Source organism: Homo sapiens, chromosome 19 (genome assembly GCF_000001405.40).
Source record: "Homo sapiens chromosome 19, GRCh38.p14 Primary Assembly".
Taxonomy (NCBI): Eukaryota; Metazoa; Chordata; class Mammalia; order Primates; family Hominidae; genus Homo; species Homo sapiens.
Window position 1 is genome coordinate 34,403,440 of NC_000019.10, and position 25,225 is coordinate 34,428,664.

The following is a 25,225-nucleotide window of genomic DNA, read 5'->3' on the forward strand; positions in this document are numbered from 1 at the left end:
TACTCGGGAGGCTAAGGCAGAAGAATCGCTTGAACCTGGGAGGCAGAGGTTGCAGTGAGCTGGGATCACGCCAGTGCACTCCAGCCTGGGCGACAAGAGCGAAACTCCGTCTAAAAAAAAAAAAAAAAAAAAAGCCGGGCGCCGGGCGTGGTGGTGGGCGTCTGTAACCCCAGCTACTGGGTGGGGCTGAGGCAGGAGAATCACTTGAACCTGGGAGGCTGAGATGCAGTGAGATGGCGCCACTGCACTTCAGCCTGGGCGACCCAGCAAGACTCTGTCTCAAAAACAAAACAAAACAAAACAAAAATAAAAACTGAAAAATCTCAAACATATAAAACCCAAATAGAATAAATCTCCATGTGCCTGGCACCAAATTTCAACAATTATCAACTCATGGTCAATCTTACTGTATTTACACCCCACCACCTTAATTATGTAGTAGCAAATCGGAGGTATTTCATCTATAAGCATTTTGGTGTGTTTCTCTAAAAATTAAAAACTTTAACTTTTTAAAAAACTTTATTGTTCTTGTTAATGACTGATAATACCATTATCCCACCTAAAATTTTTATTTTCCGGGAAGGCTTTTTTCTGGTGGCTCACACCTGTAATCGCAACACTTTGGGAGGCGGAGGCGGGAGGATCGCTTGAACCCCAGGAGTTCAAGACCAGTGTGGGCAATATAGCAAGTCCTCGTCTCAGGAAAAAAAGGAAAAAAGAAAGTTAGCTTTTTGGCAAAACTACTTCCTAGTAGATGGTGTGTACTTCCTATCACAGCGCATTAAGGGGCACATAATGCCTGGGACTCCGGGATTTCGAGCCCCTGACGCCAGCGGCGCCTCTGTGGCTCTGGGACCTGAGCGCACGCGCCTTAAAGCCACGCCTCCGCATCGGATCCTAGTAAGGGAGCGGGGTTATCATTTTAGCGTAGCGTTGCGCGTGCGCAGAGAGGCCGCCGTAGTTTGCGTTTTCACCTGGTCGCCCGGCGGCCATGGCGGCCGTTCTGAAGCCGGTGCTGCTGGGCCTTCGAGATGCGCCGGTGCACGGCAGCCCCACAGGGCCGGGTGCCTGGACTGCTAGCAAGCTGGGCGGCATTCCGGTGAGGGCGGGTGCCGGAGCTGGGGTCGATGGGTGCTGCTGAAGGGTGCGGAGGGAGTGGGCGAGGTCCTGGGGGGAGTCGGGGTCTGAGCGCCTCCTCTGTCCCCTCAGGATGCTCTGCCCACCGTGGCTGCGCCCAGGCCCGTGTGTCAGCGCTGCGGGCAGCCGCTCGCTCTGGTCGTGCAGGTGTATTGCCCGCTGGAAGGCTCCCCGTTTCACCGTCTGCTGCACGTGTTCGCGTGCGCCTGCCCCGGCTGTAGCACCGGCGGTGCGCGCAGGTAGGCGGGGAAGTCCCAGAGCTGCTCCAGGGGTGTCCTTTCCAGCGGGCTGGGGCGGGCCGGCGGGCTGGAGTCGGGGTGCAGCCCTCACGGCCCTTTGTCTTCACCCCGAAGCTGGAAGGTGTTCCGCTCCCAGTGCCTGCAGGTGCCAGAGAGAGAGGCGCAGGACGCTCAGGTAAAGGTTGTGATTGGCATGTTATTGTTTTTCTGTCATTTGAGGATATTTTCCAGAGAATAGTTTGGGGCAGACTTTAAAGCCGTGTTCTTTGAAGTACACTGGAGTGTTTTTTGCTTTTCTGAAGAACCATAAAATGCTATTTTCGTAAAGTTTTTTTTTTTTTTTTTTTTTGAGACGGAGTTTCGCTCTGTCGCCCAGGCTGGAGTGCAATGGCGCGATCTCGGCTCACCGCAACCTCCGCCTCCCAGGTTCAAGCGATTCTCCTGCCTCAGCCTCCCTAGTAGCTGGGATTACAGGCATATGCCACCACGCCCGGCTAATTTTGTATTTTTAATAGAGACGGGGTTTCGCCATGGTGGTCAGGCTGGTCTCGAACTGCCGACCTCAGGTGATCCACCCGCCTCGGCCTCCCAAAGTGCTGGGATTACAGGCATGAGCCACCGCGCCCGGCCTTTCTTAAGGTTTTGTGAGAGTTTTTTTTTTCTTCTATTTTACTTTATTTTTATTTTCTAACTCCTTTGTTAAAAGGAGATGGAGGCCCAGCATGGTGGCTCACGCCTGTGATCCCACCGTTTTTTGAGAGGCTGAAGTGGGAGGATTGCTTGAGCTCAGAAGTTGGAGACCAGGCTGGGCGCGGTGGCTTACGCCTGTAATCCCAGCACTTTGGGAGGCCGAGGCGGGCGGATCTCCTGAGGTCAGAAGTTCGAGACCAGCCTGGCCAACATGGCGAAACCCCGTCTCTATTAAAAACAAAAACAAAAAATTAGCCGGGCATGGTGGCAGACACCTGTAATCCCAGCTACAAGGGAGGTTGAGGCAGGAGAATCGCTTGAACCCGGGAGACAGAGATTGCAGTGAGCTGAGATCATGCCACTGCACTCCAGCGTGGGTGACAGACTCCGTAAAAACAAAACAAAACAAAACAAAAGAAAAAAAAAACGTTGGGAGAGCAGTCTGGGCAACATAGCAAAACATCGTCTCTATAAAAAGTAAACAAATTAGCCAGGCATGATGGCCACGCAACTGTAGTGCCAGCTACTCAGGAGGCTGAGGTAGGAGGATTGCTTGAGTCTAGGAGGTTGAGGCTGCAGTGACCTACACTTGTGCCACTGCACTCCGGCCTGGGCCACAAAGCCAGACCCTGTCCCCTGCCAAAAAAACAAAAGGGAGATGGAGACTTCCTCCTGGATTTCTTCAACTTTTTTTTTTAACTGTAAATTGACAGTTTATAATAATGTATAAATTTATGAGGTATAAAGTGATGGCTATGATTCATGAATATCATGTGGAATAATTAAATGAAGCTAGTTAATGCATTCATCACCTCAAATACTTAACATCTTGTGAGAACATTTGAAATTTCCTCTAGCAATTTGGAGATACACAATACTCTTATTTTTTTTTTTTTTTGAGACGGAGTCTTGCTCTGTTGCCCAGGCTGGAGTGCAGTGGCGCCGTCTCTGCTCACTGCAAGCTCCACCTCCTGGGTTCACACCATTCTGCCTCAGCCTCCAGAGTAGCTGGGACCACAGGCGCCCGCCACCACGGCCAGCTAATTTTTTCATTTTTTTAAATTTTTAGTAGAGACAGGGTTTCACCATGTTAGCCAGGATGGTATTGATCTCGTGACCTTGTCATCCACCCACCTCGGCCTCCCAAAGTGCTGGGATTACAGGCTTGAGCCCCTGTGCCCAGCCACAATACTCTATTATTAACTATATTCATGCTGTGCAGTAGAACTTAAAAAAAACCCACATTCCTCCTGAATAACTGAGGTTTTGTATTCTTTGACCGTCATCTCCTTATTCTTCCCGCTCCAGGTTTCTTTCTTCCTTTTTTTTTTTTTTTTTTTTTTTGAGACCGAGTTTCGCTCTTGTTGCCCATGCTGGAGTGCAATGGCACAATCTCAGCTCACTGCAACCTCCACCTCCCGGATGCAAGCGCTTATCCTGCCTGCCTCAGCCTCCCTAGTAGCTGGGATTACAGGCACTCGCCACCACGCCCAGCTAATTTTTATATTTTTAGTAGAGAAAGGGTTTCACCATGTTGGCCAGGCTGGTCTTGAACTCCTGACCTCAGGCAACCCACCCGCCTCGGCCTCCCAAAGTGCTGGGATTACAGGCGTGAGCCACCATGCCCGGCTCACTCCAGATTTTTTTTTTTCTTTGAGATGGAGTTTCGCTTTGTTGCCAGGCCGGAGTGCAGTAGCACAATCTTGGCTCACTGCAGCCTCCGCCTCCCAGGTTCGAGCAATTCTCCTGCCTCAGCCTCCTGAGTACCTGGGACTACAGGCACACACCACCATGCCCAGCTAATTTTTGTATTTTTAGTAGAGATGGGGTTTCACCGTGTAGCCAGGATGGTGTCGATCTCTTTACCTCGTGATCCACCCGCCTTGGCTTCCTGAGGTGCTGGGATTACAGGCGTGAGCCACCACACCTGGCCACTCCAGATTTCTTTAACCACCACTCTACTCTCTACTTCTTTGAGGTTGTTTTAGATTCCACATATAAGTGAATACATGCAGCATTTGTCTTTGTGTCTGGCTTATTTCCCTTAGCAAAATGTTCTCCAGTTCCATCCATGTTGTCACAAATGACAGAATTTCCTTTTTTTTTTTAAGGGTGAAAAATATTCCATTGTATATATAGTAGTTTTTTTAAACTTACACTGAAGGTCTTGAGACACACAGTTTACTGATTTTCCTGTTTGGGAATATATATGGGTGTGTACATATATGTGGTTGTATGTGATAATGTATACGTGTCTTTATAGTAAATATACTTTATGAGAGCTATATATGTATTAACACATTTCATAAGATGAAATCTGAATTTATTGAAAAGGCAGGCAAGTTGGTAGCTGCAGAACACAATTTAGCCTCCCTTTGACTGTAAATGTGTCTTTATATATACACTGAGTTTGTTTGTTTGTTTGTTTGTTTTTTGAGATGGGGTTGCATTCTGGTCACCCAGGCTGGAGTGCAGTGGCATGATCTCTGCCTCTTGGGCCCAAGCCATTCTCCCACGTCAGCCTCCTGAGTAGATGGGATTACAGGCACGTGCCACCATGCCCAGCTGATTTTCATATTTTTTGTATAGATGGGATTTTGTCATGTTGCCCAGGCTGTTCTTGAACTCCTGGACTCAAACAGTCCGCCCACCTCAACCTCCCAAAATGCTGGGATTACAGGCGTGAGACACTGGGCCCGGCCTGCACCCAGTTCTTGATGTTTGCTAGGCATAGTATTAGCAGTACTTAAATAAAAAGTTGAAGACAGTGGTGTTTGCCTATATTTGTCAGGGTTCAGGTGCAGATAATTAGAAAAGTGCTGTTGCTTTTTCTTTTTTTTTTTGAGACCGAGTGTCGCTCTGTCACCCAGGCTGGAGTGCAGTGGTGTGATCTTGGCTCACTGCAACCTCCGCCTCCCGGGTTCAAGCGATTCTCCTGCCTCAGCCTCCTGAGTAGCTGGATTACGGGCACGTGCCACCATGCCTGGCTTTTAAGCTGAGACAGACTTAACACAGGAGTGAGGTTTTTAGTAAGTGGATAGGCTGAAGGAGGAGGCTCCAGGAATGCCCTCCAGAATCACACCTCAGAACTGGCCGTGAAGGAGCTGCTATGCCACCTCTCCTGCTGTCAGGAAGCTTAGGTGTGATCTGGTGAACTAGAGGCTGTCTTTGCCACCGAACCGTTGGCTCCAAAGCCTTGTTCTGTCTGTGTCTACACAATGGCTACCTTTTGCTATGTGGTCTTTCTTTCTACTTCACTCTGTCTCAAGTTCATGTTTCTCTCTAGTAGACCTGATTAGCAGACCCCTAATCATATCTGAAACCCTAGCTGCTAAGGGGTCTGGGAAAGGTAGTTCTTTCTTTTCAGTTCCTGCAATACATGAAGCACAACAGAAAGATATTGGAACGGATGGTTGAATAACCCCTGTACTATATCTGTCACACTCACCCCAAAAAGGAAAGACAAGTATTTTAAGTCACCTCCAACGTGCTTTTGAGTACATAGGGTCTAGAAAGTTTGATTGGAGTGTACCAGAGGGGAAGGGGATGGTGTGAAGGCTCCCTCTGGAAGGCGCGGCGGTGGGTGGCTGGAGCCGAAGGATTAGAATAAACCTCCCAAATGTGCTCGGACCTCATTCACTGAGTATTTTTCCAGAAACAGGGAAACAGCCTTGCAGCTGAGGACTGGTGTGAAGGTGCTGATGACTGGGGAAGTGATACTGAGGAGGGGCCTTCACCACAGTTTACCTTGGATTTTGGGAATGATGCCAGCAGTGCCAAAGACGTAGACTGGACTGCTCGGCTCCAAGACCTCCGCCTGCAGGATGCTGTCCTGGGTGCTGCCCATCCTGTGCCTCCTGGGCTGCCGCTCTTCCTGCCCTACTACATCTGTGTTGCAGATGAGGATGATTACAGGGACTTTGTCAACCTGGATCATGCCCACAGCCTTCTGAGGGACTATCAGCAGAGAGAAGGCATTGCCATGGATCAGTTGCTTTCCCAAAGGTGAGGATGTGTGCTGCTGAGGTTGAGAGGTGACTGGATTGGGAAGCAGCCACAAGAGTTACCCTTCAGTTTCACCACAGGACCTGGGGAAACTTTCAGGCAGAACTTGTATGTAGGACCTTTTTGCTTCACTTCCTTATCAGCCAACTTGAGTTAGCTTGAAAACCCTGCTCTATTTATAATTGCCGTTAAGAAAGTGAAGATGAACAAACAGAAGTTAGAGATGGCAAGTATTTATAGAAGACGCGTTCACTGACTCTTAAATTTTCTTTTATATTTCTAATATGTCTTTATAGCAGAGACAGGCAAGTTAGAAAACTACCATTTGATCTGGGATAATAAGATTGGGGTGAAAAAATGGAAAAAGGAAAAGAAAAACGCCATTTGTTTATTGACTCTTGGCTGTGGCTCCAGAACTGGCCCAGGACCTCAGAGATGCTTTCAGATCCTCAATTCTGTAAAATGAGAGTGATGGTGATATCTCTGTTCTCTGTTTCATCCCATGATTTTTTGAGAGTTAAGCGAGAGGGTAGATCTTGAAAGGCTTTATAAACCAAAGCTCTCTAAAGAGGTAAGAATGATCATTTTTGCTTATTGATTGACTGAGAGAGACAGGGTCTCACTCTGTCACCCACGCTGGAGTGAATTGGTGTGATCAAAGCTCATGCAGCCTTGAACTCCTGGGCTCAGGCAATCTATCTTAGTTTCCCAAGTAGCTGGGAGTACAGGTGCACACCACCATGTCTGACCAATTAAAATTTTTTGAGTTTCGCTGTTGTTACCCAGGCTGGAGTGCAATGGCACGATCTCGGCTCACTGCAACCTCCACCTCTCAGGTTTAAGCAGTTCTCCTACCTCAGCCTCCCAAGTAGCTGGGATTATAGCCATGTGCCACCATGCCCAGCTAATTTTTGTATTTTTAGTAGAGATGGGGTTTCACTATGTTGGTCAGGCTGGTCTCGAACTCCTGACCTCAGGTGATCCACCCACCTCAGCCTCCCAAAGTGCTGGGATTACAGGCGTGAGCCATTGTGCCTGGCCTAAAAATTTGTTTTAGCCACTGCACCCAGCATTTTTTACTATTAGAATAAAAAAATTACAATAGAATATTTGGAGAAATGGCCTGGTTCTTTACCAGAACTGTTTCATTTGTAGGCTTTTTCAGAATAATGATGAAGGGGAATGCATGAAGACATGTTGGTGTTTGAAAATAATCCTTAATAGAATTGATGGTTATAAGGACTTTTTATTTTTTATTTATTTATTTATTTATTTATTTATTTATTTTTGTGTGTGTGTGATATGGGCTCTCTTGCCAGGCTGGAGTGCAGTGGTGCGATCTCGGCTCACTGCAACCTCCCCTTCCTGGGTTCAAGCAATTTTCTTGCCTCAGCCTCCCAAGTAGCTGGGACTACAGGTGCGCGCCACCACACCCAGCTAATTTTTGTATTATTAGTAGAGACGGGGTTTCACCATGTTGACCAGGATAGTCTCAATCTCTTGACCTCGTGATCCACCTGCCTTGGCCTCCCAAAGTGCCGGGATTACAGGTGTGAGCCACCGCGCCCGGCAGGATTTTTTATTTTTTAATTTCTTAAGTTTTTATGTATTTGCTTATTTTTGGTGGGTTTCTTCAGACTAGAGTATTCTTCTTTTTTTTTTTTTTTTTTTTAGAGATGGGATCTTGCTTTGTTTCCCAGGCTGAACTGCAGTGGTGTGGTGTGGTTATGGCCTTTTTTTTTTTTTTTTGAGACAGTCTTGCTCTGTTGCCCAGGTTGGAGTGCAGTGGCACGTTCTCGGCTCACTGCAACCTCTCCCTCGCCGGCTTAAGCAGCTCTCATGTCTCAGCCTCCCGAGTAGCTGGGACCATAGGCGTGCGCCACTTCACCCAGCTAATTTTTGTATTTTCTTTTTAGTAGAGATGGGCTTTTGCCATACTGGCCGGGCTCTTCTTGGAGTTCTGGCCCCACGTGATCCGCCCACCTCGACCTCCCAAAGTGCCGGGATTACAGGTATTAGCCACCACGCCCAGCCTGCTCATGGTTTACTGCAGCCTCAAACTCCTGGCCTCAGGGGATCCTCTGGCCTCAGCTTTCCCCATAGCTGGGACTACAGGTGTGTGCCACCAAACTCAGCTAATTAAAAAAATTTTTGGTTTTTTTGAGACAGAGTCTCACTTTGTCACCCAGGCTGGAGTACAGCGGTGTGATAATGGCTCACTGCAACCTCCAGCTCCCAGTTTCAAATGATCCTCCTGCCTCAGCCTCCCAAGTAGCTGGGATTACAGGTACCCGCCACCACACCCGGTTAATTTTTGTATTTTTAGTAGAGATGGGGCTTCACCATGTTGGCCAGGCTGGTCTCAAACTCCTAACCTCAAGTGACCCACTCTCCTTGGCCTCCCAAAGTGCTGGGATTGCAGGCGTGAGCCACCGCACCCAGATGAAAAATACATATATATATATATATATATAAAATAAATAATAAAATATATATATTAAAAAATATATATGAAAATATATATATTTGAGACAGAATCTCGCTCTGTTGCCAGGCTGGAGTACAGTGGCTCAATCTCAGCTCATTGCAACCTCCACCTCCCAGGTTTAAGCAATTCTCCTCCCTTAGCCTCCTGAATAGCTAGGATTACAAGTGCATACCACCATGCCCAGCTAATTTTTGTATTTTTAGTAGAGACAGGGTTTCACCATGTTGGCCAGGATGGTCTCGATCTTTTGACCTCGTGATCCACCTGCCTCGGCCTTCCAAAGTGTTGAGATTACAGGTGTGAGCCACTGTGCCCTGCGACTTTTTAAATTGTAAATAATTACTCAAGAGTTGAAAATGGCTTGGGAGAAGGGTTGGGCAGGGAACTGCAGAGCTACATGTACACAATTTAAATATCAAAAATATTTACTTGACAGTTTTTGGCTGAGTGCGGTGGCTCACTCCTATAATTCCAGCACTTTGGGAGGCCGAGATGGATCACTTGAGGTCAGGAGTTGGAGACCAGCCTGGCCGACGTGGTGAAACCTTGTCTTTACTAAAAATACAAAAATTAGCTGGACGTGTTGGCGCACACTTGCAATCCCAGCTACTCAGGAGGCTGAGGCAGGAGAATTGCTTGAACCCAGGAGGTGGAGGTTGCAGTGAGCCAAGATTGCACCATTGCACTCCAGCCTGGGTGACAGAGGGAGACTCCCTCTCAAAAAAAAAAAAAAATTACTTGACAGTTTTACAGTTTTTTAACTTTGACAGTTTTTTTTTTTTTTTCTTTTTGAGACAGGGTCTCACACTGTTATCCAGGCTGTAGTGCAATGGTGTGCTCACGGCTCACCACAGCCTTGCCTCTGGAATAGCCGGGACCACAGGTGCATGCCACCATGCCCAGCTAATTTTTGTATTTTTTTGTAGAGACAAGGTTCTGCCAGATTGCCCAGGATGGTTTTGAACTCCTGAGCTCAAGTGATCCGCCTGCCTCGGCCTCCCAAAGTGCTGGGATTACAGGCGTGAGCCCACTGCACTGGCCTGAGAAATTTTTTTTTGAGACGGAGTTTCACTCTTCTTGCCCAGGCTGGAGTGCAATAGCGCAATCTTGGCTCACTGCAACCTCCATCTCCTGGGTTCAAGTGATTCTCCTGCCTCAGCCTCCCAAGGAGCTGGGATTACAGGCGCCCGCCACCACGCCTGGCTAATTTTTTGTACTTTTATTAGAGATGGGGTTTCAAGATGTTGGCCAGGCTGGTTTCAAGCTCCTGACCTCAGGTGATCTGCTCACCTCGGCCTCCCAAAGTGCTGGGATTAAAGGCGTGATTGATTTTTTTTTTTTTTTTTTTTTTGAGATGGAGTCTCATTCTGTCACCAGGCTGGAGTGTAGTGGCATGGCACGATCTCGGCTCACTGCAACTTCCGCTTCCCGGGTTCAAGCGATTTCCTCTGCCTCAGCCTGCTGAGTAGCTGGGACTATAGGCGCAAGCCACCATGCCCAGCCAATTTTTTGCATTTTTTAGTAGAGATGGGGTTTCACCATGTTGGCCAGGATGGTCTCGATCTCCTGACCTTGTGATCTGCCTGCCTCGGCCTCCCAAAGTGCTGAGATTACAGGCGTGAGCCACTGCGCCTGCCCTGATAAAATTTTTTAAAAGAAAATTATCTTGTTTTGTCTTGCAAATGCTGTAATTTTCTGGATATAGACATTCAAAAGTGTTTTCTGCTTCTGTTTTTAGCCTTCCTAATGATGGTGATGAAAAATATGAGAAGACCATAATTAAAAGTGGAGATCAGACGTTTTACAAATTCATGAAGCGAATTGCTGCTTGTCAGGAGCAGATTTTGAGGTAAAAAAAGGCACAGTTCCTTTTATTGTTTTCCTTGATTATAAAGGAATACATATTAGTTTGGAAAACACAGGAAAATATGAGAAAAGCAAAACCTACAGTATTCCCCAAACCAAGAGAGAACCTAATACCTGCTTTATAGGACCTAATACCTACTTTATAGGATGTGTAGGAGGATTCAGTAAGGTAAAGTGCACTCACTTGTCTAACAAATACTTACGAAGTCTATTCTGCATGCCAGTTGCTGGTATTTGTAGGTGCTGCAGATATAGCAAGAAACGGCACAGATGAAGTCCATGTTCTCATAGCCTTTATTATTATTATTATTTAATTTTTTTTTTTCTTTGAGAGGGAGTCGCGCTCTGTCGCCCAGGCTGGAGTGTAGTGGCGTGATCTTGGCTCAATGCAACCTCCACCTCTTGGGTTTAAGCCATTCTCCTGCCTCAGCCTCCCAAGTAGCTGGGATTACAGGTGCCCGCCACCCTGCCCAGCTGATTTTTTTGTATTTTAGTAGAGATGGGGTTTCACCATGTTGGCCAGACTGGTCTCGAACTGCTGGCCTCACGTAATCTGCCCACCTCAGCCTCCCAAAGTTCTGAGATACAAGTGTGAGCCACCATGCCTGGCTTTTTTTTTTTTTTTTTTTTTTTTTTTTGGGGGCAGGGTCTTGCTCTGTTGCTCAGGCTGGAGTGCAGTGGTGTGATCAATCATAGCTCAGTGCACCTTGACCTCCTGGGCTCAAGTGATCCTCCCACTTCAGCCTCCCAAGTAGCTGGGACTACAGGCATGTACCACCATGCCCAACTAATTTTTGTATATTTTTTTAGAAATGGTATTTCACCATGTTGGCCAGGCTGGTTCCAAACTTCTGGGTTCAAGCCATCCACCTGCCTTGGCTTCCCAGAGTTTGTTCTAGGATTACAGGCATGAGCCACTGTGCCTGGACTATTATTATTATTAAAAAAATATTTTTTTAGAGAGAGGGTCTCAGTCTGTTGTCCACCCTGGAGTGCAGTGGCGTGATCATTGCTCACTGTAACAACTACCTCTTGGGCTCAATCGATCCTCCCAAGTAGCTAGAACTACAGGAGTGTGCCACCATGTTTGGCTAATTTTTAAAAAATGTATTTTGTAGAGATGGGATCTGATCATGTTGCCCAGTCTGCTCTCAAACTCCTGGCCTCAAGTGATCCTCCTGCCACGGCCTTCCAAAGTGATGGGATTACCGGCATCAGCCACGACCCTTGGCCCATATATTTATTTTTATTTTTTAATTTATTTTTATTTTTCTGGGATGGAGTCTCGCCCTGCCACCCAGGCTGGAGTGCAGTGACGTGATCCTGGCTCACTGCAATCTCCGCCTCCCAAGTTTAAGAGTCTCCTGCCTCAGCCTCCCGAGTATCTAGGATTACAGCGCCACCACGCCTGACTACTTTTTGTATTTTTAGTGGAGACGGAGTTTTACCATGTTGGTCAGGCTGGTATCGAACTCCTGACTTCAAATGATCTGCCCGCTTCAGCCTCCCAAAGTGCTGGAGTTACAGGCTTGAGCCACTGTGACTAGTGGGGGAGATTAAAAACAAACCTGTATGATTCCCATAAGTGATAAATGAGGAAAAAATAGAGCTATTTTAGGTAGGCTATCAGAAAGGCCTCAGAGGAAATGACATACCCAGCAGGTATAATTTATAAAAATAGCCACATAGTAAAAACAGGTCCAGACAAAGTGGGCAGAATTAGCTCAAATGGTCTTTTTCCCCGATACCTACCACAGTGAATCTAAAAGCTAAAAATCAGGCCAAATAAAATAAATATTAAAAAAGAAATTCCCTTGTATCAGCACTGAACAAAGGAAAAGGGCTTAGTACCATAAAACTCAAAGTGATAGCCCAGGATATAATATCCATAAATGTCTAGTAGAGTTCTTGAGTGTTTAACATATATATTTATTCACTTATGTAACTAAGTTATCTTTGCAGAGAAAGGTACAGAAATTTCCGGCATGGTTAAGTGCAAGTTCTAATTCCACAGGCCTTTTCTCTCACCTGCCTAAAATATACTGATGAGTCCACAAAGAATTTTCTTTTTTCGGAAACGGAATCTGTCTCTGTCCCCCAGGCTGGAGAGCAATGGTACGATCTCAGCTCACTGCAACCTCCATTTTCTGGGTTCAAGCAATTCTCCTGTCTCAGCCTCCTGAGTAGCTGGGACTACAGGCATGTGCCAACATACCCGGCTAATTTTTGTATTTTTATTAGAGATGAGGTTTCACCATGTTGGCCAGGATGGTCTCGAACTCCCGACTTCTGGTGATCCACCCACCTCAGCCTCTGAAAGTGCTGGGATGGCAGGTGTGAGCCACCATGCCCGGCCTAAGAATTTTCAGTTAATAATATTATGTCTGGAAGGAAGCACACAGGAGGAGAGTTTGCATCTCCTAATGTGGAGGATGGTGGACCCAGCTGTTGGCTGAAGAACTGGGTGTGGTGGGGAGGTGGTGTAGGAAAGGACGGGGATTGCCTCTCAGAAGCAACATTCCTTTGTTCCATGAGTCAGAGCAATGATTGGAAAGTTAAGAGCAATTTCGCCTCCATTCGAGTGGGATCTTTCTCAACATACAGCATTTTACACTGTCTCAGAGGAAAAAGCAAAGCCCAGGTATTCTAATAAAGATTGCATCCAGTCCCAGAAGAACTATCTCCTCACCCCAGTTTCCTCTTTTACCACCTACAGAAATGTAGAGGAAATGGACAGTACTCTTAGAGAGAGGAAAACAGGCCTCATATGAGATGGACAGGAAATCAATGAGAACCTCTGCAGACATTTCAGAGCAAATAGATGGTCTTAACTGAGTTGCCCCCTTTAGGTGTGAGCTAGATGAAAAATAGCATGCCACCCAGGTAATCATACTGTGGCAAGAACAGTTAAGGAAATGAAGAGAACATAGAAAAGGCTCAAGAACCAAGTCTGCCAGAAAATATAATCCAGCTGGACTCGGTGGCTCACGCCAGTAATCCCAACACTTTGGGAGGCCGAGGCGGGTGGATCACGAGGTCAGTAGATCGAGACCATTCCAGCCAACATGGTGAAACCCTGTCTCTACTAAAAATACAAAAATTAGCCGGGCGTGGTGGTGGGTGCCTATAGTCCCAGCTGTTCAGGAGACTAAGGCAGGAGAATCGCTTGAACCTGGGAGGTGGAGGTTGCAATCAGCCGAGATCGTGCCACTGCACTCCAGCCTGGGTGACAGAGTGAGACTCTGTCTCAAAAAATAAAATAAAATAAAATATAATCCAAGGAGCACATCAGTCCCAGCAGATGCTTCAAAATGTATAAGAACTTCATAAGAATGGATTCCATAAAACAAGAGCTCAAAGGTGAGAAAATAAAGTAACTATGTATGAATCGGAAATTGAATTGCTAAAGAAACCAAGCCCCATGACATTACATATCTAATACATATAGAATATAAGGAACACTGGCCGGGTGTGGTGGCTTAAGCCTGTAATCCCAGCACTTTGGGAGGCCAAGGCAGGCAGATCACAAAGTCAGGAGTTCCAGATCAGCCTGGCCAATATGGTGAAACCCTGTCTCTACTAAAAATACAAAAATTAGCTGGGTGTGGTGGCGGGTGCCTGTAGTCCCAGCTATTCGGGAGGCTGAGGCAGAAGAATTGCTTGAACCTGGCAGGCGGAGGTTGCAGTCGACCGAGACTGCGCCATTGCACTCCAGCCTGGGCGAGAGAGCAAGGCTTTGTCTCAAAAAAAAAAAGAAAAAAAAAGTTAAGGAACATAATAGACTTGGCTAAAGATCAAAGTACTGGTATAGAGGAAAGACTTGAGCTAATCCAGTGAATGCAGAAGAAAAAGAGAAAGCATTCAGAGAGAAGATGGTATCTTTGAAGGGTTGATAAATATATTTACTATGAGGAGAATTGGTGTCCAAAATAGAGAACGCAATAGATGGATCAGAAACTATTCAAAGATAAAATTGGGAATTTTTCCTTAATGAAATAAGAACTAAATATGCAAATACTAAAATACAGGGAGTATAAGAATAGTTGACATTGAGAAACCTAGCCTGGTGGTGGTTTTAAAAATATCGTCAGTCTTTTAAATGTAGCCATTCTAGTAGGTGGTGGTGGTGGTATTTCCTTGTGGTTTGAATTTGCATTTTCCTAATAACAAATGATGTTGTGCATCTTTCCATATACTCATTTGACATCTGTGTATCTTCTGTAGTGAAGTGTGTCTGTTTACATTTATTTTTCAGCAGCTTTATTGAGATACAATTGACATACAACAGACTGCGTATATTTTTACAGTGTGCACTTTGATAAGTTGACATCCATATACACCCCTGAAATCACAACAGTCAAGACAGTAAACATATTCCTCTCTGCCAGGAGTTTCCTCATACTTCTTCGCAAGTTCTTGCCTACCCTGTCCTGTGCTGCTCCCCTAGTCCCCAGGCAACCGCCAATCATCTTTCTGTTGCACCTTAGTGCATTTCCTGTGAAAGTATATAAGGTCATATGGGATATACTTTTTTTTTTTGGTCTGGTTTTATTCACTTAGAATACTTCAAGATTCATTCTTATTGCATGTATCAATAGTTCATTCCTTTTGACCGCTGTGTCGTATTCCATTGTATGGATGTGCCACTATACATTTACCAGTTGATGGATATTTGGGTTATTTCCAGTGTTTGGCTATTATAAATAAAGCTGCTGTGAACATTTGTTTACATCTCTTTGTAAGACATGTTCTGATTTTGGGGGGGTAGATACCTAGGAATAGAACGGTTGTATTATATGGGATATGCATGTTTAACTTGTTAAGAAACAGGCCAGTTTTCCAAAGTGGTTATGCCATTTCTATTCCCACTAGCAGTTTTTAAGAATTCTACTTCCTGTATATCTTTGCTAATGCTTGGGATGTTCAGTTTTTAATTTTAGCCATTTAAGAAGGTGTGTAGTGGCATTTTATTGTGGCTTTAATTTGCATTTCCCCAAATGGCAAATGATGTTGAGCATCATTTCAAGTGCTTGTTTTCCATCTCTGTATATCATCTTGGATAATGTGTCATTCAAATCTCTCACCATATTGTTTGTGTTACTGAGTTGTAGGAATTCTTCATATGGTCAAGAGTACAAGTCCTTTTTCAATTTAATTTTTTTTAGCACTCAAACAGATTCTGACAGATGGCTTTAAATTTTGATCAAGTTCAACTTAACAGTTATGGTTTTTTTAACACGGAATATGCAGTCCCTTTAATGTAATCATTGGTATTGTTGGGTTAATTGTTTTTTGTTTTTTGTTTTTTTTTTCTTGAGACGGAGTCTTGCTCTGTTGCCCAGGCTGGAGTGCAGTGGCACGATCTTGGCTCACTGCAACCTCTGCCTCCCAGGTTCAACGATTCTCCTGCCTCAGCCTCCTGAGTAGCTGGGATTACTGGTGCGCACCACCATGCCTGGCTAATTTTTTGTAGTAGAGACAGGTTTCGCTATGTTGGCCAGGCTGGTATCAAACTTTTGACCTCAGGTGACCCGCCTGCCTTGGCCTCCCAAAATGCTGGGATTACAGGCATGAGCCACCGCACCCCACCATGTTGGGTTAATTTTATTCTGTTATTGTTTTTTCCTCCATTTCCTTTTTTTTTTTTTTAAAGAGATGGGTGTCTCACTATGTGGCCTAGGCTGGTCTTGAACTCCTGGACTCAAGCAGTTCCCTCACCTCAGCCTCTCAGCTTCTCAAAGTGCTAGGGTTATAGGCATCTGTCACCACACCTGACTTTCCATTTGGTGGGGTTTTTTTGTTTTTGTCTCTGTATTCCTTTTATTTAACCTGCTTGTCAGTGACTTTGAGTATTTTTAGTTTACTATTTTGTTCCTTTTTTGTCTTTTATTTTTAACTCTTTATGTTGCTTTTTTTTTTTTTTTTTTTTTAAGAGATTGGGTCTTGTTCTGTTGCTTGCGTAGGCTGGAATGCAGTGGTGCAGTCATGGCTCACCGCAGCCTCAGACTCCTGAGCTCAAGTGATCCTCCTGCCACACTCTCCAAAGTAGCTGGGACCACAGGCGTGCACCACTATGTCTGGCTAATTTTTGTATTATTACACTATGTCTGGCTAATTTTTGTATTATTATTATTATTCGAGACAGAGTCTTGCTCTATCATCCAGGCTGGAGTGCAGTGGAGCAATCTCAGTTCACTGCAACCTCTGCCTCCCAGGTTTAAGCGATTCTGCAGCCGCGGCCTCAGCCTCCCCCACAGCTGGGATTACAGGCACCTGCCACTACGCCCGGCTAATTTTTGTAGTTTTAGTGGAGATGGGGTTTCACCATGTTGGCCAAGCTGATCTCGAACTCCTGTCCTCGAGTGATTCACCCGCCTCAGCCTCCCAAAGTGCTGAGATTACAGGCCTGAGCCACGGTACCCGGCCTACCTTGTCCACTAGGTTTTTTTTTTGGTTTTTTTTTTTTACATATTCATTACTGGTATTTTAAAGTTTTTGTCTGATAAATTTATCATCTTGTCCATGGGTCTCCTTGCATTAACTTTCTTTATGGGGTAAATTTTCCTGCTTCTTTGCATGTTTAGTAACTTTTAAAATGATTTACCAGAAATTACATATCGAACAACAGTAATATTGAAGTGAGCTGGATGTGGTGGCTCACACCTGTAATCACAGCACTTTGGGAGGCTGAGGTGGGAGGATCACTTGAGGCCAGGAGTTTGAGACCAGTCTGGGCATTATAGCAAGACCCTGTCTCTACAAATTTTTTTTTTAAAAACTAGCTGGGTATGGTGATGCGCCTCTGTGTTCCCAGCTACTCAGGAGGCTGAGGTAAGAGGATTGCTTGAGCCCAGGGGGTCAAGGCTGCAGTGAGCTGTGATTGTGCCACTGCACTCCAGCCTGGGCAACAGAAAAAGGCTTTATCTAAAAAAAAAAAAAAAAAACCCAAAAACTGAAGTGAATGTTTCCTCCCTCTAAGGCAGAGGTCCCCAACCTTTTTGGCATCAGGGACTGGTTCATGGAAGGCAATTTTTTCACAGACTGAGGTGGGGGATGTGGGGCATGGTTTTGGGATGAAACTGTTCACCTCAGATCATAAGGCTTTAGATTCTCAGAAGGAGCACACAACCTAGATCCCTTGCATGTGCAGTTCACAATAGGATTTGCGCTCCTATGAGAATCTAATGCTGCTGATACGACGGGAGGTGGAGATCAGGTGGTAATGCTCGCTTGGCTGTTGCTCACCTCCTGCTGCATGGCCCTATTCCTAATAGGCTACCAACCAGTACTGGTCCATGGCCTGGGGGTCCATGGCCTGGGGGTTGGGGACTTCTTCTCTAAGGCATGCCCTTTCCTCTGTAAGGCCAGTGATGTGGAGGGCTGATTCCATTTAATCTGCAGTGGAGCTGAGTCTGGACTTTGTTGCAGCTTTACCTAGATTCAGTTGAACATTGACTTTAGTGCCTTTGAGACTTTGAATCGAACACTGACAAGATTTCCAGATATCTTGCTATGCTTTACAGCCATGGTGCTAGGTTTTTGGGCCTCTGGGAGATTTCTGCAAGAAACAAAGAAAGGTTGCAAAGCATGGCCTTAGATGCTAGAATGCGACTTGTGTGGCTCTGATTCGGGGTTCTTTGTTTCCTTGTCCTAGGTATTCCTGGAGTGGAGAGCCACTCTTTTTGACCTGCCCTACATCAGAAGTCACCGAGCTCCCAGCCTGCAGCCAGTGTGGAGGCCAAAGGATATTTGAGTTTCAGCTTATGCCAGCACTGGTCAGCATGCTCAAGAGTGCTAATTTAGGTGAGAAGCCCTTTATTAATTTGAGTTTGTGGATTTCTGGCATTATTTTTAAATAAATGAAAAACCTTTTGTTTACTTATAAAATATCATAAGCAAATTACAGAAAATTTGGGAATTAAAAAATTATTTTAAGAAATTTAGGCCAGGTGTGGTGGCTCATGCCTGTAATCCCAGCACTTTGGGAGGCCAAGGCGGGTGGATCACAAGGTCAGGAGATCGAGGCCATCCTGGCCAATGTGGTGAAACCCTGTCTCTACTATAATATAAAAAATTAGCTGGGCGTGGTGGCACGTGCCTGTAGTCCCAGCTCCTTGGGAGGTTGAGGCAGGGAATCGCTTGAACCCAGGAGGTAGAGGTTGCAGTGAGCCAAGATCGCACCACTCTACTCCAGCCTGGCGACAGAGTGAGGAGACTCTGTCTCAAAAAAAAAAAAAGAAATTTATAATCCAGCCAGTCTTTTTTTTTTTTTTTTAATATTTATTGATTGATTTATTTATTGAGATGGAGTCTCTCTCTGTCGCCCAGGCTGGAGTGCAGTGGCACGTTCTTGGCTCACTGCAACCTCCAGCTCCCGGGGTCTAGCAATTCCCCTCCCTCAGCCTCCCTAGTAGCTGGGATTACAGGTGCCCGCCACCACGCCCGGCTAGTTTTTGTATTTTTAGTAGTGATAGGGTTTCACTGTGTTGGCCAGGATGGAATTTTTGTATTTTTTGTAGAGACAAGGTTGCGTCATGTTGCCCAGGCTGGTCTCGAACTCCTAGACTCAAGCGATCCTCCCGCCTTGGCCTCCCAAAGTGATTACAAGCATGAACCATGCCTGGCCAGAAATTAAAACTATTATCAATGTTAATAACCATTATTCCAACAATCATTTTTGACATAAAGACAAATAGCAAGTCAGATGAATGTATGGATGGCTAGACGAAAATAATTTTCCTAAAATAGGAAAATTCACTAATATGGTAATTAAAAGTCTTAGAACAAATTTTTGTACAAATTAACAGAAGGAATGTTAAGTATAAGTGAAGCAGTTACTGGATTTTTTTTTTTTTCCTTCTTTTTTCTTGAGACGGAGTCTTGCTCTGTCGCCCAGGCTGGAGTGCAGTGGCATAATCTCAGCTCACTGCAAGCTCCGCCTCCCGGGTTCATGCCATTCTCCTGCCTCAGCCTCCCAAGGAGCTGGGACTACAGGCGCCCGCAACCAAGCCCAGCTAATTTTTTTTTGTATTTTTAGTAGAGACGGGGTTTCACTGTGTTAGCCAGGATGGTGTTGATCTCCTGACCTTGTGATCCGCCCACCTCAGCCTCCCAAAGTGCTGGGATTACAGGCGTGAGCTGCCACGCCTGGCCTGGACTTTTGGTAATAGGTTCTTTACCTAAGAGGCCCAAGTTTCTGAAAGGTGCTTCTGCTATTAACAGAAAATAACATTCTTTCTGTGTTTCAGTTTTAGATAGTATGCATCTGGCTCCTTACCATAGTAGATAAGGAAATTTATACCCTATTCCTACCTTGAAATATTTCAGTATCTTTTTTGTTTTTTGAGACGGAGTTTCACCCAGGTTGGAGTGCAATGGTGCTATCTCGGCTCACTGCAACCTCTGCCTCCCAGGTTCAAGTGATTCTCCTGCCTCAGCCTCCTGAGTAGCTGGGATTACAGGTGCCCACCACCACACCCAGCTAATTTTTTATATTTTTGGTAGAAACAGGTTTCACTGTTGTTGGCCAGGCTGGTCTCAAACTCCTGACCTCAAGCTCCCGACCTGCCTCGGCATCCCAAAGTGCTTGGATTATAGGCATGAGCCACCGTGCCTGGACCCAGTATCTTTTTTTTTTTTTTTTTTTTTGAGATGGAGCCTCACTCTGTCGCCCAGCCTGGAGTACAGTGGCACTATCTCGGCTCATTGCAACCTCTGCCTCCCAGGTTCAAGCGATTCTCCTGCCTCAGCCTCTTGAGTAGCTGGGATTACAGGCGCCCACCACCACGCCCTGCTAATGTTGTATTTTTAATAGAGACGGGGTTTCGCCATGTTGGCTGGTCTTGAACTCCTGACCTCAAGTGATCCGTCCACCTCGACCTCCCAAAGTGCTGGGATTTACAGGCATGAGCCACCGCGCCTGGCCAGTATCATAATTATCACAGCTATTTGGATAGCCTTAGTTCTATGTGTAAATGGATTCAGTGTTTATCACCACTCTTAGAGTGAGCTTTTTTATTCCTGTTTTATTTTGATTCTTTTTGCAGTAGCTGGATTTTCTCAAGTAATAGCTTTAAGGAGGGCTCAGAGGTATCTTGCTTCAGATTGTGCATGGTAATGTGGCTTCATATTTGAGGGGCAACCCATGTATAAAATTTTTAAATCCCACTTTCTCTTTTCAGAACCTTGTATAGACCCCTGTGTTGTCTTCTGACAGTGAAAGCCCTGCCAGCCCTTTGCCCTGGTGCCTCCTGTCATTTCTTGGTGGTTCAGTCTCACTGGGAAATATATTTTTCTGGAAGGGCTTATGGGCATTCTAGTCTCTGAGATTTTTCACTCATATAGAAATGTCTTTTGCATGGAATGTAGCTTTGTAGAGGTATGAGGGTGGTCTGATTTTTTCCCCCTTTGTGACTAACATTTTTGCCACAATACTGTTAGCAGCGGTGAATCTGTAGGGGTCTGTAGCAACCTCAGTTCTTGCCTCCTCCGAAGAAAGAATTTGACCGAGGCACATAAGACAGAGGAGAGACCGAAGCAAATTTTAGAGCAGGAGTGAAAACTTACTAAAAAGTTTTAGAGCAAGAACGAAAGGAAGTAAATATAGTTGGAAGAGGGCCAAGCAGGCAACCTGAGAGATTCAAGTGTCCATTTGACCTTTGACTTGGGGTTTTATACTTCCTGGGTCTTGGGTTACTTCTCTTGTTTCTTCCCTTGGGGTGGGCTGTCCACATGCATAGTGGCCCTCCAGCACTTGGGAGAGGCCGCATGCGCAGTGTGTTTACTGGAGTTGTAGACTTGCTCACTTGAGGCGCTTTTCCCTTACCAGTCAGATGCTCCTAGAGGAATGTCATATACCAGTTAAACTCTGCCATTTTTTCATTTTTTTTTTTTTTTTTGAGACAGAGTCTCACTCTGTTGCCCAGGCTGGAGTGCAGTGGCACAATCTCTTCTCACTGCAACCTGTGCCTCCCAGGTTCAAGCAATTCTCCTGCCTCAGCCTCCCAAGTAGCTGGGATTACAGGTGCCTACCACCACGCCCAGCTAATTTTTTGTATTGTTAGTAGAGACGGGGTTTCACCATGTTGGCCAGGCTGGTCTTGAACTCCTGACCTCAGGTGATCCATATACCACAGCCTCCCAATGTGCTGGGATTACAAGCATGAGCCAATGTGCTGTGCCCAGCCAATGCATACATTTTTAAACAATGTATTTCTCCTTTGCTGCTGCAAATCATTGCCTACGTCATCCTCTTGACTCCTGCTTTTCTGTTCTAATATCAGGAGTTCTTATTGCTTATGTTTTCTTGGTATCTTTTTTTAATGGCTTTATTCATTGATAATTTTCTGTAAACTCTTAGGGTTTATTTTATATTTTTTGCCTGAATCCTTATCCTTTCTCGGCAGTAGTGTGTCCTATGATATATATTTCTCTCTTCTTTTTTTTTTTTTTTTTAAGACAGGGTCTCGCTCTATCACCCGGGCCAGAGTACGGTGGTGCAATCATAGCTTATTGCAGCCTTTATCTCCTGGGCTCAAGTGATCCTTCTGCCTTAGTCTCCTCTGAGTAGCTGGGACTACAGGTGTGCACCGTTACACCCAGTGAATTTTTTTTTTTTTAGTAAAGTCTCACTGTGTTGCCCAGGCTATATGAGATATATATATATTTTGTTTGTTTGTTTGTTTGTTTTGTTTTTTGTAGAGACAGGTGTCTCACTATGTTGCCTAGGCTGGGCTCAAGCTGTCCTTCCCCGTCGGCCTCCCAAAGTGCAGGGATCACAGTTGTGAGCCACCGCACCTAGCCAAAAGCTATGTATATCACATGAACCATGTAGATTAATATAGATTTTCAACATCAGATAGCTAGACAGTTATAATGAACACTTGCTGAAATTTTTGTTTATTTTTAAAGTATATTTTCCTGCCACTTTAAATTAATTTTGCTTTTTTGTTATCAATATTCACTTATTATAGGATAGACTGTGATTCTGTTATAGCTGAAAGCAGTAAGCACTGTTTTTGCTTTACCTAATTACTTTTTCAGCTTATAAGGTAAAATCATTCCTTTTAGTAACATCAGTCTCATAACTCTTTTTGCTGGAAGCCTGAATATGTGGTATTTTTCAGGTCTTTCTGTGGAATTTGGAACAATTCTAGTTTACACATGTGAGAAGAGTTGCTGGCCCCCAAATCATCAGACTCCCATGGAAGAATTTTGTATTATACAAGAAGACCCAGATGAATTATTGTTTAAGTAGAGCATTTCCTTTTATTAATATAAATTAAAACAAATGTTTACATCCAAATATGTTTGTATGTACCTTATTTTAACTCACAAGTTATTAACCTCTGTTTTTCTGAGTTGCCTTTTTGCCTTTGGGTGCTGGTGCCGGGGCCGGGGCCGGGCCAGGACCTCCTGACTGTGGGTTGGTCTGCCCTTCCAGGGTCCAGGGCCAGCTGTCACAGTGGCAGCTAGGAAGGTAGCTCCTCTCTAGTCCAGAGGGCTGGTGTTGTCTGCACAGCCGTTCTGGTGGGCATTCTAGGGGGGAGGAGAGCAGCGAAAGAGCCAAGAGCAGTGGTCAGCCTCTTGTGTACACCTCTGACACGTGCACTCCAGTGCTTCCTATGCTGTTTCTGGCACCTGATCAAGCCACTGAACCTGCTCTAGCTGCTGGAGGTTTTTGCTCTGTGACCCTGGCTGTTTAGACCTGCCCATGTTCATCAGCCCAGGTCCCCGCCCTCACCCACTCCCATCTTCTGCTCCTGCAGTATCCCAGGAAGGGGTCTTTACTCCGTTCTGGAGACTGTCCCTTTATCCAGCTGCCTTCCAGTCTTCCCCTTTCTTTATTTTTAACATGATCAACCCCTTCCCTTCAGCCCCATAACAGCAGTATAAAAACACTCCCAGCCATGTTCAGACATGCTCTGCCTACGTAGATGAGGATAATGAGGCCTAGGTGATCATGGGGTGGGCTTGTTTCTTGCATTTAACATTATATTTGGAGCATTTTCCCATTAATATTTTTCCCACAACATAATTTATAATTGCTCTATTTTTTAAATATACATCAAAAGCTTTATACAATTTTTAGCCACTTGTATTTTCCAATTTTTATTCCCATGATGGCCATCCCTGTAACTAAATTTATATATATTTTAAATCAATGATAACTGCTACAGGACAGTTTCCTAGAATTGGAATGAATGAGTCAAAAGTTGTGCACAATTTTAGGGTTTTTTTTTCTTTTTTTTCGAGACAGGGTCTTGCTCTGTCTCTCAGGCTGGAGTGCAGTGGTAAGGGCATAGCTCACTGCAGCCTCGACCTCTCAGGCTTAAGTGATCCTCCTGCCTCAGCCTCCTGAGTAGCTGGGACTACAGGTGCAAGCCACCACGCCCTCTAGAGAAGCTTTGCTTTGGAATCTTTACCTGGAGTGTGTTGGAGTGCTTGTTTCCCAATCCCTTGATAAGTGTTACTTATTTTTTCTTTCTACCAGTTTAGTAGGTGAAAAACTTTTTTTTTTTTTTGAGACAGAGTCTCGCTGTATTGCTCAGGCTGGAGTGCAGTGGTGCAACCTCCGCCTCCTGGGTTCAAGCAATTCTCCTGCCTCAGCCTCCTGAGTAGCTGGGGCTACAGGCTTGTGCCACCACCCCCAGCTGTTTCGGTGTTTTTTTTTGTTTGTTTGTTTGTTTGTTTTTTTGAGACGGAGTCTGTTGCCCAGGCTGGAGTGCAGTGGCGCGATCTCGGCTCACTGCAACCTCTGCCTCCTGGGTTCAAACGATTCTCCTGCCTCAGCCTCCCGAGTAGCTGGGATTACAGGCGCACGCCACCACGCCCGGCTAATTTTTGTATTTTTAGTAGAGATGGGGGTTTCACCATGTTAGTCAGGCTGGTTTCAGAACTCCTGACCTCGTGATCCACCCGCCTCGGCCTCCCAAAGTGCTGGGATTACAGGCGTAAGCCACCGCGCCCGGCAGGTGAAAATCTTACCATTTTGCATGGTTTACATTTTTTTCTTTTTTGAGACGGAGTCTTGCTCTGTTACCCAGCCTGGAGTGAAGTGGTGCGATCTTGGTTCACTGCAACCTCCACCTCCAGGGTTCAAGCGATTCTTTTATGGTTTACATTTTAATACGCTTATTGATCATATTGTCCAATTTTTTGTGAGTTTCCTGTTCACATCCTTTGCCTATATTTTTTTGGGGGTGACACTTGTTAATTTGTAAGAGCTCTTTACGTATAGGGACATCAGTTTTCTAACCTGTAAGGAAGTCTTGGCTGGGAGTTGAAACCCCAGGCTAGAAGGCGACCCTTAGACTTTTTAGGTCTGATGGCGGGCCTATGCTGGTGTGGGAATAACACCGCCGGTCTCAGCTGGAGGTCGCCAGCCCTTTGCAAGAGCCTGCCGGTCCCCGCGGGCTGCAGCACACCCCGGCGCGATGTGCCCTGCCTGTGTCTGCCGGAGGCTGTAGTGCGCAGGAGCGGAAACCAGGCCGCCCTTCCCCCACCCGCTTCCGGCCGCGGCTCGGTTCTCCCGCCTCCGCCTCCGCCGCGGCTCGTGGTTGTCCCGCCATGGCACTGTCGCGGGGGCTGCCCCGGGAGCTGGCTGAGGCGGTGGCCGGGGGCCGGGTGCTGGTGGTGGGGGCGGGCGGCATCGGCTGCGAGCTCCTCAAGAATCTCGTGCTCACCGGTTTCTCCCACATCGACCTGGTGAGGGCCGGGCGCGCGCGCGTGAATGGCGGGCTGTGGTGCGGGGGCTGGGATTCGGGGGTTCCGGGGCTCCAGGGGCTCTGAGGCTCAGGGC

General features: G+C 45.8%; 2 protein-coding genes, 1 long non-coding RNA gene and 1 pseudogene across 10 annotated transcripts in view, besides 2 other annotated features; 2 read left to right on the top strand and 2 right to left on the bottom strand.

Moving 5' to 3' along the window:
* On the top strand, positions 960 to 22,729 carry PDCD2L (programmed cell death 2 like). 2 transcript variants are annotated; one of them, NM_032346.2, is made up of 7 exons: positions 960 to 1,099; positions 1,210 to 1,376; positions 1,491 to 1,551; positions 5,722 to 6,071; positions 10,298 to 10,408; positions 18,080 to 18,228; positions 22,551 to 22,729. In NM_032346.2, exons 1-7 carry the CDS (start codon positions 992 to 994, stop codon positions 22,679 to 22,681), a joined length of 1,077 nt encoding a protein of 358 aa, NP_115722.1. In that variant the 5' UTR covers positions 960 to 991; the 3' UTR covers positions 22,682 to 22,729. The 2 variants fall into 2 exon arrangements, with proteins under 2 accessions (NP_115722.1, NP_001340362.1); NM_001353433.2 differs by having other exon boundaries at positions 5,728 to 6,071.
* On the bottom strand, positions 18,549 to 18,872 carry RN7SL154P (RNA, 7SL, cytoplasmic 154, pseudogene; annotated as a pseudogene).
* Positions 22,667 to 24,925, bottom strand: LOC124904695 (uncharacterized). Its single transcript, XR_007067232.1, has 2 exons — positions 24,683 to 24,925; positions 22,667 to 22,962 (listed from the first exon to the last, which is right to left on the bottom strand). It is a non-coding gene; the product is annotated as an uncharacterized LOC124904695 (long non-coding RNA).
* Positions 24,830 to 25,069: a silencer, noted in NCBI's record as "silent region_10502". NCBI's record gives its function as "represses an Ori minimal core promoter by ATAC-STARR-seq in GM12878 lymphoblastoid cells {active_cell/tissue: GM12878}" and the evidence as "EXISTENCE:reporter gene assay evidence [ECO:0000049][PMID:35858748]".
* The window catches only part of UBA2 (ubiquitin like modifier activating enzyme 2), a 42,871-nt gene continuing 42,587 nt past the window's right edge, over positions 24,942 to 25,225 (top strand). For all 7 annotated transcript variants that reach the window (NM_001411139.1, XM_011526304.3, NM_005499.3 and 4 more), the window contains exon 1: positions 24,942 to 25,131. Coding sequence is in view for 5 of the 7 variants with exons in the window: in NM_005499.3 (NP_005490.1) it covers positions 24,994 to 25,131 (138 nt within the window). In the remaining 2 variants the exon portion in view is untranslated. The remainder of the gene's footprint in view (positions 25,132 to 25,225) is intronic.
* Positions 25,100 to 25,209: a silencer, noted in NCBI's record as "silent region_10503". NCBI's record gives its function as "represses an Ori minimal core promoter by ATAC-STARR-seq in GM12878 lymphoblastoid cells {active_cell/tissue: GM12878}" and the evidence as "EXISTENCE:reporter gene assay evidence [ECO:0000049][PMID:35858748]".

Coding starts and splice junctions, on each gene's coding strand:
- PDCD2L (NM_032346.2), top strand. CDS start 992: ATGGCGGCCGTTCTGAAGCCGGTGCTGCTGGGCCTTCGAGATGCGCCG. Junction 1,100..1,209: donor GCAAGCTGGGCGGCATTCCG/GTGAGGGCGGGT, acceptor CTGTCCCCTCAG/GATGCTCTGCCCACCGTGGC. Junction 10,409..18,079: donor TGTCAGGAGCAGATTTTGAG/GTAAAAAAAGGC, acceptor TCCTTGTCCTAG/GTATTCCTGGAGTGGAGAGC.